This window comes from Homo sapiens, chromosome 6 (assembly GCF_000001405.40).
Source record: "Homo sapiens chromosome 6, GRCh38.p14 Primary Assembly".
Lineage (NCBI taxonomy): Eukaryota > Metazoa > Chordata > Mammalia > Primates > Hominidae > Homo > Homo sapiens.
The window spans coordinates 123,658,053-123,671,934 of record NC_000006.12 but is presented as its reverse complement, the minus strand read 5'-3'; the positions used below and the strand labels follow the sequence as shown (position 1 = coordinate 123,671,934).

At 37.8% G+C, this 13,882-nt stretch overlaps 1 long non-coding RNA gene across 1 annotated transcript in view; it reads right to left on the bottom strand.

Moving 5' to 3' along the window:
- Nucleotides 1-2,670: 2,670 nt before the first annotated feature.
- Nucleotides 2,671-13,882, bottom strand: part of LOC105377981 (uncharacterized) — a 58,946-nt gene continuing 47,734 nt past the window's right edge. The window contains exon 3 of the long non-coding RNA XR_942943.3: nucleotides 2,671-3,075. This is a non-coding gene — a long non-coding RNA (uncharacterized LOC105377981). The remainder of the gene's footprint in view (nucleotides 3,076-13,882) is intronic.

The window sequence follows — 13,882 nt, the reverse complement described above, 5'->3', positions numbered from 1 at the left end:
AAAGACTAAATAGAAAATTTAACAGTAATTTCCTCTGAGGGATGAGATTATCAGTGATCTGCTCTGCTACTTAATTATATATTATTTTCCAAATTATCTAAAATTAGTATATATTTTATAGTCAGAAATTATGAAAAGTAAGGCATTTAATTTAGTGATATTTGTGCTGCATATATATTTTCTTTATAATTAATATTTATATCAGATAGCAGTTAATTACAAAGTTTATATTATTAAACAACTTCATATAATCAAATTTATGGCCACAAACAATTTTAATAGTCCATGTCTAAAGAAACTCGAGGGCTTGGTCATCTGAAAACAAAGCATACAACAAATTTTAATAATTAAAATACATTACATTTCTATGTGGCAGATGCTAAGTCTAAGCATTTCGTATAGCAACTTCTTTAATCCTCAGGACAACCCTGAGCCTATTATTATTCTCATTTAGCAGATGGAGAAATTGAAGGGCAGAGAAATTGGGTGATGTATGGAAAGCTTGTACCTAATAAATGGTCAGGATTCAAACTCAGGCAGTTTAACTCCAGAGTTGTACTTTAATCCCCCTTGTTTCCTAACTCTAAAATTTTTACAAGTACAATTTTAGAGTGAAAATTTAGAAAATCAGTTTTATTGTCTTTAATTATGAATTTTTGGGGTTTATATTTTTGGTGTTTTTGTTTGTATATAAGACATATAAGTATTATTGATGAGTTGGCCTTATTCTTGCCAAGAGTAAATTATATGAACTATTATACACACATACATGCACACATACACGAACACATTATACATTTATCGTACCTGCTTTTACCCACTGGTCATCATTTTATAGCATATGGTCATGCTTACGGAAGTATTCTGCATGTCTGCAAGCACTACCCATTTTGTTGAAAAACTACTTTCACACTGGGATATGTCTCTGGGATAGGCTTAATCATGCTATGCAAATCAGCTTCTTAGCACAAGAATTTAGGATTGGGACTCAGTATACAGGAGAATTTAAAATCTACAAATGTGTCAGGCCATTTGAGGCCATTGTACTTTGACAAACAGATACCATAAATCAGCTGAAGGAGAAAGAAACGAGAGGTAGATGCTCAGAGAGAGCCTGTGAGTAAAGGCTTTCAGGACGCAAATGGGCTGTGGGTTCTACACTTCCATTTCCCAACACTGGCCTCTGATTTCTGCTCTAGATTCTCAGAAAGTGGTTGGAATCCTTGAGATAAATACCTCTTTTTTGAGCTGTGTGGTATTCTTATTGCTTGAATTGAAATAATCCTAGATTGAAACAATTATATTTTGGAGAAGAAATGTTTCTTTCAAAGAACTATGAAAAGAATTTTAAAATAATTTCCTCTTGCCAACAATCTTGAGAAATTCTACATTCTGTTTTAAACTTTTTAAATAAAAAAACTAAATAATCTGTTTAATGACACCCTGGGGGTTTGTCTGTTGACTAGTTCTCAGTAGGGAAAGTAAGAGATACATTTTTTTTAAATAAATTATATCCTTTATACAGATACTGAATAGTATTCTCACCGAGGTTTTGGGGAGGAAGGGGAAAGAATTATAAGTGCTAACGTTGATACTATTTACAAGTGTAATGAACTGCTTTGTGTCATAAGGAAAGTCTAATTTGATGTAAAAAGTATGACTTTTAAAGACTATTTAAAAGGTAACTTTAATACATTTTATTGAACTCTGTATAAACCTCAATATATAGGTAAAACACTTAGGAATCAAAATTGACATGATTTCTTTGCTTTATAATGTTCTCTGTAGTTTTCTTTTCATATCAGCAACGTATGATCATTATAGAAAACTAACAAAATAGTAGAAATTAAATGAAAGTCATTTATATCCTCTTCATAGAGAGATACATATTTTAAATCAGTAATGTATTTTCCATCAGCTTTTGTTTCTATGTGAATGTGTATATTCATTTGAAAAATATTCGCATTGTAGAAATAATTTTAATCATGATTTGACACAATATATTTGTGAATATTCTTTTTTTTTTTTTTTTTTTGAGACAGAGCCTTGTACTGTCACCCAGGCTGGAGTGCAGCAGCACAATCTTGGCTCACAGCAACCTCCATCTCCGGGTTCAAGCAATTCTCATGTCTCAGCCACTCGAATAGCTGTGATTAGAGGTGTGCACTACCATGTCTGGCTAATATGTATATTTTAATTTTTAGTAGAGATGAGATTTCACCATGTTGGCCAGGCTGGTTTTGAACTCCTGGTCTCAAGTGATCCACCTGCCTTGGCCTCCCAAAGTGCTGGGATTACAGGCGTGAGCCACCGTGCCCGGCCTTCTTTTATTCTTATATTATAAGTATTATTTCTAAACAGTAGATATTTTAAAGATTATGTTCTGCAAATGCCACTGATACTGGAATTTATCTAATCTTGAGTGTTAATGTCAGAGGTGTTGGAACCAGAATGATTCCATCTTGAATAGAGGCCAGGTAAAATAAGGCTGAGATCTACTGAGCTGCATTCCCAAGAGGTTAGGCTTTCTTAGTCACAGGATGAAACAGGAGGCCAGAGGAACTGGTATCACAAGACACAGGACATGGAGACCCTGTTGATAAAACAGGATGCAGTAAAGAAGCTGGCCAAAACCAAGATGGCAAGAAAAGTGACGGCTAGTGGTCCTCACTGCTCAGTATATGATAATTATAATGCATTAGCATGCTGAAAGACACTACCACCAGCACCATGACTGTATATAGGTGCCATGGCAACGTCCAGCAGTTACCCTATATGGTCTAAAAGGAAAAAGAACTCTCAGTTCCAGGAAATCCCCGCCCCTTTCCTGGAAAACTCATGAATAATCCACCTCATATTTAGGATATAATCAAGAAATAACCTTGAAAGTAGCCATCCAGCAGCCTCAGAGCTGCTGTGTCTGTGGAGTAGCCATTGTTTTTGTTTTATTGCTTTACTTTCTTAATAAATGTGCTTTCATTTTCCTCTGTGAACTTGCCCAGAATTCTTTCTTGCCTGAGATACAAGAACCCTCTCTTGGGTCTGGATCCAGTCTTCTTTCCTGTAATATTAATGCTGCAATAAACATCAATGTATGTTAAAAATCATCAACAAAAGATGTTTTGTTTTAACTACTTCCACTATAGTTTTGTTTTGTTTTAGGAAGGTTTTGATTTGATAAAAATTGGAAATATGTGTATCAGAATTCTTTGTGTTATATCATCTAATCCTAGCATTAATTTATATCTATTTTAGATCATTATTATGTTGAATATTTTCTTACAAGCCACACCATGCTGAACATATGCAAAATTTGGCATGGGTTTCCATTTCACAAATTTAGTTTAAAGACCTCAATTAGCTTTATTTTCAAATCTAGAATTAGGTAACACTTCATTCTATAAAACAGAATAAGTGTTCCAATGAACTACTGAGCAGAAAGAGTTGGCTTTGTATTATTTTATGATTTGTAACTAAGAGTTATTAGTTCTTTAAAGTTATTTTTCTTATAAGGTGGGGACAGGGAGATAAATTAATAGGAAAGTGACTAAATAGTTAACACCAGGTTACTTCAGGCTACCTCTTTGTGTAAGAATTAAAGCAGGGGAAATCTCATTATCATGCTGATTAAAGATTGAGGCTGGGGCGGTGTCTCATGCCTGTAATCCCAGCACTTTGGGAAGCCAAGGCATGCAGATCACTTGTGGTCAGGAGTTGGAGACCGCCGTGGCCAACATGGAGAAGCCCCATCTCTACTAAAAATACAAGATTTAGTTAGGCAGTGGGCTCCCGTAATCCCAGCTACTTGGGAGTCTGAGACAGGAGAATTGCTTGAACCCGGGAGGCAGAGGTTGCAGTAAGCCAAGATCGTGCCACTGCACTCCAGCCTGGGTGACAGAGCGAGACTCCATCTCAAAAAAAAAAAAAAAAAGATTAAAACTGGATGGTTTGGGAAATTGGATGTTAGTATCTTTCTCAGAAGATCAGATAACAATTTAGATTGGGTTTGGTGACCTGAAACTTTAACACGGGAGACTTCATATTGATTTTTAGCTTGTTCTGTTGGGCCTAGTACAGAAACAGCTCAAAACAATGACCTCGTATAATTTTCATTTGACGCCAGTAAGTTTCAAATGCTGTCATGTGCTACAATTTCCAGGTAGGCTCTAAGAGCTTACTGAATAGAAACCCTAATATTTGCAAAGTAAAAGAATAAGTTAAACCATGTGCTATAATTTAAGTGATTTTTTTGTCAGTATCAGATTCCTTAAAAAGTAGGTTAAAACATATGGCAAATCACACTACAGCTGATCCAGCCAGTTACAATATGTACATGAAACTTTGAGATTGTATATCTATGATATTGTGATTTAGAATAAGAAATATATATTTGGTCTTCATTCCCATTCTTGGCACAGATCTTCCAAAATCCTTGAAATTTCCTAAAGGATAAGATCCATAAAGGTGAAAGGAGGTTCTTTTGCTAATCCTAACAAACGCTTTTCAGCCACACTTGAGTTGTAATGAGATGACTTTTGGAAAGCCCCTAAGGATAGGGGCTGGTTTCCAGGGGAACTAACTATGTGATTAAAGGCTTAGAACTGGCTGGGTGTGGTGGCTCATACCTGTAATCCCAGCACTTTGGGAGGCTGAGGTGGGCAGATCACGAGGTCTAGAGATTGAGACCATCCTGGTCAACATGGTGAAACCCCGTCTCTACTAAAAATACAAAAATTAGCTGGGTGTGGTGGCGTGTGCCTGTAATCCCAGCTACTCGGGAGGCTGAGGCAGGAGAATCGCTTGAACCCAGGAGGCAGATGTTGCAGTGAGCCGAGATTGCACCACTGCACTCCATCCTGGAGAAAGAGCAAGACTCTGTCTCAGACAAAAAAAAAAAAAAGGCTTGGAGTTTTGAGTGGCATCCCTGGCTCTGGGGAGGGAAGAAAAGCTGAAGGTCAAGCAAATCACCAGTGGCTAATGATTTAATCAATCATGCCTATATAATGAAACTTCCATAAAAACCAAAAAGGAAAAAGTTAGGATAGGTTCCGGGTTGGTGAACAACAAGACATGCATTTGTCAGGAGGGTGGTGCACTCAACTCTATGAGGCAGAAACTTCTGCACTTGGTACCCTTCTAAACTGTAGCCTCTATGTAAGTATCTGTATCTGGCTGTTTATTTGTATCCTTTACAATATCCTTGCAATAAATCAGCAATAGTAACCAAACTGTTTTTCTGGGTTCTATGAACCACTCTTGCAAATCATTGAACCTGAGAAGCGGATTGTGGGAACCTCAGACCTGTAGCCACATGGGACAGAAGTTGTGGTAACCTGAGGACTTAATACTTGTGCTTGACTTCTGAAGTGGGAGGCAGTCTTGTAAAACTGAGCTCTTAATCTGTAGGATCTGAGGTTATCTCTAGGTAGATAGTGTCAGAATTGAGTTAAATTGTAGCACACCCAGTTCTTGTTCACTGAGCATTGGGGAACTGCTTGGTGATACGGTTTGGCTGTGTCCCCATCCAAATCTCATCTTGTATTGTAGCTCCCATAATCCCCACATGTCATGGGAGGGACCTAGTGGGAGGAAATTGAATCATGGGGGTGGGTTTTTCCCTGTGCTGTTCTCATGACAGTGAATACGTCTCACAAGATCTGATGGTTTTATAAAGGGCAGTTCCCCTGCACATGCTCTTGCCTGCTGACATGTACGATGTGCCTTTGCTCCTCCTTCACCTTCACCATGATTGTGAGGCCTCCCCAGCCATGTGGAACTGTGTGAGTCCATTAAACCTCTTTTTATTTATAAATTACCCAGTCTTGGGTATTTCTTCATAGCAGTATGAAAATGGGCTAATACACTTGGTATGGGTAAAATCATCCAATGTTTTGGTGGCCAGTGTGAGAATATTGAAAATGGTGTGAGTATAAAAGGAAAAACTGTTTCTTTATTTTTTCCAACCCCATATGATAAAATAAACTTATACTTAGAAAATTAAATTGATTTAGATTTCTAATGCCTAAATATGTCTTATACCTTACCTTTCTTCTTGTGTCTGAGAAAAAAATGATATTATAAAATGTGTTATCATGTACTTACAAACTGAATGTCTTGAATTTAATTGCTATGTAGTTGATTTTGACAGGCTTATTAACTGTCAAAAGGAATGTTGAAGGACAAAGTTGGAAAGAATCTGAGAAATGCCCAACATATCTTTATATTTTAGTTCATTAAATAGTTTTTGATAATAGACTATTAATATGACATTCAAAATTGGGAAAGGATTAATTAGCTAATATTACTGGTAAGTACTACGATCAGGTACTATCATCAGTGATATAATTCATATTGGTTGAAATTAATTAACCAGCATTACTGGTAAGCACTATTAATGGAATTATTTATTGGAAGTACTATACCATTGCCAAACAATGCATTTACTTTTAAACCTGCAACTCAGGTGGAAGTGAATATTGTACTAAAAAAAGAGTTTGAAATGCTTTATTCATACTACCCAAGATGAATTATTGACCATTGGTTGCTCAGGCTGGAGAGAAAGACAGAGCTGTGGCATCACGGTTTCATTCCTGATGGGAAATAAAACAAGTGCCTAGCAATTTATGAGAGAACAGAAAAAAAGGAAAGCTTTTCTTGCACTTCTACTCATAAAGACCCAGTATTTAAAATAAACTGAGTAAAAGACTGTGAACTTAGTAACTGGGCTCAGAGTACAATTATATCCTATTGCAAAGCAGAAGCAGGGTTGGGGTGGGGTCAATGCTAGGGATTCGCTAAGCAAGAGCATCGGACCAAGGTAAAGAAAAGAGACAAAAAGCCCAAATTGAATCAGAAGAGAAAACTCTGATCTGTCTGTCTAAGAACTATTAATATTATCCTGTTATCTCTGAAGAAGAATTTAAGTGTATATCAGAGCTCCATTAAAGAATATTTATAGTGATTTATAGGATTTATATCAACTTATAGATGAATAATTTTATAAAAATTTATATATAGAATCATATTTATGTATATGCATGTAATGCACCCAATGTACACACAGAACTCCATAGTTTCCTTTGCTTATAATAAAAGTGTATTAGTCTGTTCTCACATTGCTAATAAAGACATACTCAAGACTGGGTAATTTATAAGGAAAGAGGTTTAATTGACTCACAGTTCTGAAGGCGTGGGTGGCCTCAGGAAACTTACAGTTATGGCGGAAGGAGAAACAAACAAGTCCTCCTTCACATGGCAGCAGCAAGAATTATGAGAGCTGAGCCAAAGGGAAAAGCCGCTTATAAAATCATTGGATCTCCTGAGAACTCACTCACTATAACAAGAACAGCAGCATGGGGGTAACCGCCCCACAGTTCAATTACCTTCCACCAGGCCCCTCCCACAACACATGGGGATTATGAGAATTTACAATTCAAAATGAGATTTGGGTGGGAAAACAGCCAAACCATATCAAAAAGTAAATTGTATAAAGCCAGAGTTTTATTTCACTCTTTCTTAAGAAATTTTTTATCTTCATAAAAACCTCAAGAAAATATTTTATGCCTCGTTGTATCTGAGAGTTGAACTGCTTTTGCCCACTTTAAAAAGAAAATCAAGATTCTGATGACCAAATAGTAAGTAAAACCTGACAAACTGCATCCCTTAAAGAATGATTGTTATGGATATTTATTCCTTAATCAGGACTGCGAGTTTCATGAGAATGATAGATATTCATTGCTTTTGGTCATTCATTTCTTCTTTCAGTAGCAGCATACCCACTGCATTTTGGGGACTTTTCTCTATTTTATTACGTGTAGTCTGTGCCTTGTTTTCTCCCAGCATGGTTGATACCTGACCAAAACTTGGACAGTTGGCACTTCTGTTCTGTTACTTCAACTCTTGATGAGAGAGACAGAAACATGAAAAAAGGGTGAGAGCTCATTCATTCTAACCACAGCCAGAATTTGGAATTTCCTGAGCCCTGTACCATTAGAGCTACTCTGGTTCCTGCCCTTTTAAAGAGCTTGATCCTTTAGCTGATTTTCTACCCATAGTAAGCAAGCCTAAATAAAGTACATTTCTTTTCTGACCAACTTACCCAGTTTAGTTTCAATTGCTTGCAACCAACTACCTTAAATTATACATTACATAAACTACTTATTTCTCATAATGTGTTTGAGACAAAATTCTAAACATATTTGGAATACTTGTGTTTCATCAACAAAATAAGACATCATTTTTCTCCCATTGCAATATATTGAAGGCAATATATTGAAACCCAGCATAATCAGATTCCTGAGTGCTGAATCTTGGAATAAACACTCTTATCAGCTTCCAATGTATGCAATCTGCTTTCAGTAGCACTGGCATAAAAATGTTAGGGAGTTACTGTTGGGATTAATAGACTTTGCATCACTCCAATGCTAAGCATGTATTCATTGCCTGACCATTAATTAGATAGCCTTCAGGAAATGAAGCATTCTAAGAAGAAAATAGTGACATCACAGAAAAATGGAGAAATAATTAACAAATCCCAAGTTTACAGACATTTAAAAATGTTAAATGTTACTTGCCAATTGACATTTTAGTTCAAGAACACTGGAAGACCATTATGCAAACAGATGTTCTGAGGTGCTATCTTTTTAAAAAGTTACTTACTACATAGGAAGAGGAAGTCTTTCTCAACTCAAATTACTTGTTAAATATTAATAGATGAATTCAAATAATTTTAGTACTACACTTAGTTTCAAGTGCCCCCTTTCTCTCATAAAAGAATGTCCTTACTCATCTGTTATGTTGCTTTCTACCTGTGGTGACTTTAATAATTTGACATTTTTTCCCTGTCTATTCACATTGCAAAGTTATTATATCCAATTCTCTTTTAAAGGGACCTAAGAAATGCAGAATATGATTGTTTGACATTTTGATGGATGTCAGGGGTGCGGGGAGCGGGGAGAGATTTATCTGTTTAGGCAGCACAGGCTTCGCTCACACTGTTTTTTCTGTCATATGATCTATGGACCTAGAAGTGTTTCACCTCTGAAATATCAAATCCAAAATGGAAATTGCTGACTTCAGCCATGTAACATTCCATTTCATTCATTTGTTTAATTCCAGCAGATTTTTTCCCACTTTATCATGACATTTAGTATCTGGCTTCCTCTTCCTTCTTATTCATTCAATCACAACTATCTATTGAATGCCTCCTCTGTACCGAACCAGGTTCTAGGCACCGGGAATAATGTGCTAAATAAGACATACAGGACATTTTCTCAGAGACATTAATATTTTAGAGAGGGAGAAAAACTAAAGAAGCATATTTTAATGTTGGGTAGGAATGAATGATATCAAAAATTTAGCTGAAAAAGAATAAAAAGTGATGGAATATATATGGCTCTTTTAAAAAGAGTGTAATAATTAGCTCTTGACACAATATTGCTGCAAAATAAAGTAACTTCAAAATTTCAGTACAACACACCTATCTGCAGGCTGGCTAAAGTTTGATTTAGGCTGGGCTTCCCTTGACTTGGCTCCATGCTACAGGTTGAGTTCAATTCCTTTCCACCTGTTTCTTCAGCCCATTTAAGTCAGTAGCCACTCATGCATGTTCTTTTCATGGCAAAAGATCAGAATAAGAGGGAAAGACAAATTGGGTAATCACATTTTGAGCCTTGGTTTTGTCAGGTCTGCTAATACCCGATTGGTTAAAGCAAGTCACAGACAGGGCTTGGCCCCAAATCAAGGGTCAGAGAAATACATGCCACCTACATGTGCATAAGGCCATGAAAGGTTGGATTTATATAAAACTAATGCAGAAGAGTGAAGAGTTGTGACCAATTATTCAATCTATCATTTTGAGTGAAAGGGGGAAATTCATTGACATTTAAGATCTGAATAAGGGATTAAAGAAATTATATTAATAACTGAGAACAGAACATACCAGGTAGTGGAAACAACAAGTGTAAAGACTTAAAAGTAGAGACAAGTTAGAGAAATAACAGTTTGTTTGGTACAGTAAACATGGGGTGAATGAAGGAAGAGCAGTCGTGGAAGATAAAGTCAATAGGTGTTTAATGATAAAATTTTAGTAGATCTTTAAATCCATGAAATTTGGATTTTTAAATAAGTACATCGGAAGCCTTTGAAATACTCTGAGCAGGAAATATATGTAATCAAATTTCTGTTTCTAAAAGATCACAGCAGCCGGGCACGGTGGCTCATGCCTGTAATCCTAGCACTTTGGGAAGCTGAGGTGAGTGGACTGCCTGAGCTCAGGAGTTCCAGAAAAGCCTGGGCAACATGGTGAAACCCTATCACTACTAAAATACAAAAAATTAGCTGGGTGTGGCAGCATGCACCTATAGTCCCAGCCACCTGGGAGGCTAAGGCAGGAGAATTGCTTGAACCTGGGAGGCAGAGGTTGCAGTGAGCTGAGATTGTGACACTGCACTCCAGCCTGGGTGACAGAGCAAGACACTGTCTCTATAAAAAACAAACAAACAAACAAAAATCACAAGCAGCTATGTAGAGAAATGACTGTAAGGGGGACAAAAATGAAAGAGAGCAATCACTTAAGAGGTTTTTTGGGCAATACTAGGGAGAGAAAGATCATGACTCATACTAGGATATTAATAGTGGAGGTGGTGAGAAGTAGAATTCTGGATACAGATCCAGGTTATTGGCAAGACCATATTAATATGGGAGGGGGGCAGGGAAGTGCTGGGTAGAGAAGGGTGGGATCCATGGTGAGGGCTCCACCCTCGGGCCTGTGGCCACAGACCTAAGTGAGAATGGGCACTCCTGTTTTCACACCTAAATGGTGCATTTTTCCAAGACCACTCTGGCTTGCCACACCCCTCATCTTGTGCCCATAAAAACCTGTGACCTAGCAGGCGCAGACACAAGCAGATGGATGTTGAGAGGAACAGACCAGCAGACACTGGCAGAACATCAATGACAGAATGATGTGGATGCCAAGGTGAGTTTGACCAGGAATGGGTGGAGGAGAGTCCAGCCTCTGGGTGGCCAGACTCCAGAACAAGACCACTTTCCCACTTCATCTCCCTTCTTGTTCCCCATCCATCTCACTGGGAGCCACCTCCACCACTCAATAAAACCTTGCACTCATCCTCCAAGCCCACGTGTGATCTGATTTTTCCAGTACGCTGGACAAGAACTTGGGATACAGAAAGCCCTCTGCCCTTGTAATAGGAAGAGCGTCCAATTGAGCTAACACGAGCCATCTGCAGACAGCCAAGCTGAAAGAGCACACTGTAACACATGCCCACTTGGGCTTCGGGAGTTGTAAACACTCAGCCCTAGACACCTAAAAGCTGTCCCCATGACCTCTGCACCCACCCATCTGCATGCTTCCCCTAGGGGTTTGAGCAGCGGGCAGCCACACCTCTGTTGCACACCATGTGAGGGGGATAAGGGAACTCTCCCATTTCAATATTATATGATGATGGCTTAGATATAAGAAGTGAGAGAAGGAGAGGAATCAAAGGTGACTGCTAAGTTTTTAGTCAGAATAACTTGGTAATTGGCATGACATTTATTAAGTGGAAACAATTGAAGGAAGAATGGGGTTGGTGGTAAGAATGAAAAATTTGTTTTACATAATTGAAGTGTGAGCTGTTTTTTGGACATCCAAATGGAGATGTTAAGTGGTGGGAGAGTAGGAACAGAAGAGATTGATGTTGAAGCTATCAGAAAATAGATGATATTTAAAGCCTTGAAGTTGGATGAGATCACTTAGGGAATAAGGAAAAAGGCTCAATGATTCAGTGCTAGGTGCTTCCAAAATTATGATTCAGAAAGAGGAGATAGAACAGGAGAGCAAGACCAAGGAGTGGCTTGGAAGGTAGGAGTAAATCGAAGATAAATGGTTGTCAGGAACCCAAGTAAAGAAAAAGTTTCAAGAAAGGAAGTGATCCCCTGTCTCTTCTTGATCTTGCTACTGAGGGTCAAGGAAGATGAAGATTGAGAATTCTTCATTGGTATGTGGCATGATGGAAATTATGAATACTCTTCACAGGTACCATTTCTATGGTGTGTTTGAGACAAAGTCTTATTGGAATCAGTTAAAAAGAGAATGAGAGGAAAATATGTCAGAATATTCAGCTCTTAGGAATTCTACCAGCTGGGCTGTGAACACCTCTTATCTTTATTTCCTGTTCATATTAGATCATATGTTCACAGTTTCAAAACAGCTTAACTCTATTGCTATATTACTTTTTCACTTGAATACCCAACAGCCCCCCAAATCTTGACCAATATAACTACCACCTTTTCATTTCTATAATTGAGCAGTTGAGCACTGCTGAAGGAAATCACAGACTTACTGTGCCTTGAAAAATTCTTATCATCAATACCATCTGTCATTCTCCCTGCATTTTCCTTGTTATTTGTCTCTCCTATTCCACATATACATAATTTACTTGTTCTACATATATTCTTCCTATTATAATCCTCTCATGGGAAGAAGTGTCCCTTCTTATAATTTATCTATCTCAGTCTTATACAATCATTCCTCCTACTTCCTCAGCAATCTTGCTCATTAATTATCTCTTGTTTTTCTTGTAGTTTCATGACCACCCTCCTTATTGGCTCTTTCCCGTCTTCATTTATGCATTCTCCATTACTTTCAATCATAACCTCAATATTTCCTCACCTCTCTGCTCCAATCTTTCATTATTCTCCCACCAGTGGCTACATTTCTTTAAAATGTATCTCCAATCATTATGACCATATCTCGCCTTCCATTTCCTGTTTAGATTTCTGCAATCTGAAACCCACCTTCACCACCACTGCAATAAAAGCTTCTTGTGATTGTAATCAGAAACTTCACTAAATCTCATGGGCATGTTGGAAACCTAATCTAATTTGATTTTTTTCCCCTAGTACTTGACACTGTTGAATTGTTATTCTTACTGAAATGTTCTCTTTTGTTTGTTCTGGTTGCTTTCACACTTAGTTTTTCTCCTATCTTTCTGGCTGCTCTAAGTAAATGTGATAGCTGGTTTCTTTTTATGTGTTACAAATTGGTGTTTCACAGGGTTTCAGCTGAGGTTTTATTTTCTTCTCCCTTTGTGTTCTATTACTGCCTGACCTCATTCACTCCCATGACTTGTCATCTATATCCTGATGATGCACAAATGTATCCTCCTAGGCATGTATTTCCAACAGCCTCCTGGATATTTCCACCTAGCTGCTCCTCTAATAACTTAAGCTCAATAAGAACATCATCTCGTCCACTGAAACCTGAAATCTCCTCCAAAATCATCTATGTCATTGACTGGAGACACCATGCATCTAAATGCCTAATAAGGAAAATTAGATAAAAAAATACACCCTTTATTTATGCCCCCAACTAATTAGCCAAGTCTTGTTGAGTCTATATCATGTCTCAGTCTTTTTATTTATCCAATTCCATTCTTCCCCTGTGGATCTACTCAAGTTTAAGAACACCATCACCTCTCTCTCCTGGATTTCTTTAGCAGCTCTCTAATTCAGTTCCCTGGTTTTAGTCTCAACTTATTTATTTATCTATAATACAAATATGTTAGTGTTACTTTCATTTCACACTTTTCAAAGTCTCTCCTTTTTTTTTCTTTTTTTGAGATGAAGTCTCACTCTTGTTACCCAGGCTGGAGTGCAATGGTGCGATCTTGGCTTACTGCAATCTCTGCCTCCCAGGTTCAAGTGATTCTCCAGCCTCAGCCTCCTGAATGACTGGGATTACAGGCGCCTGCCACCATGCCCAGCTAATTTTTGTATTTTTAGTACAGATGAGGTTTCACCATGTTGGCAAGGCTGGTCTTGAACTCCTGACCTCAGGTGATCCGCCTGCCTCGGCCTCCCAAAGTGCTGGGATTACAGG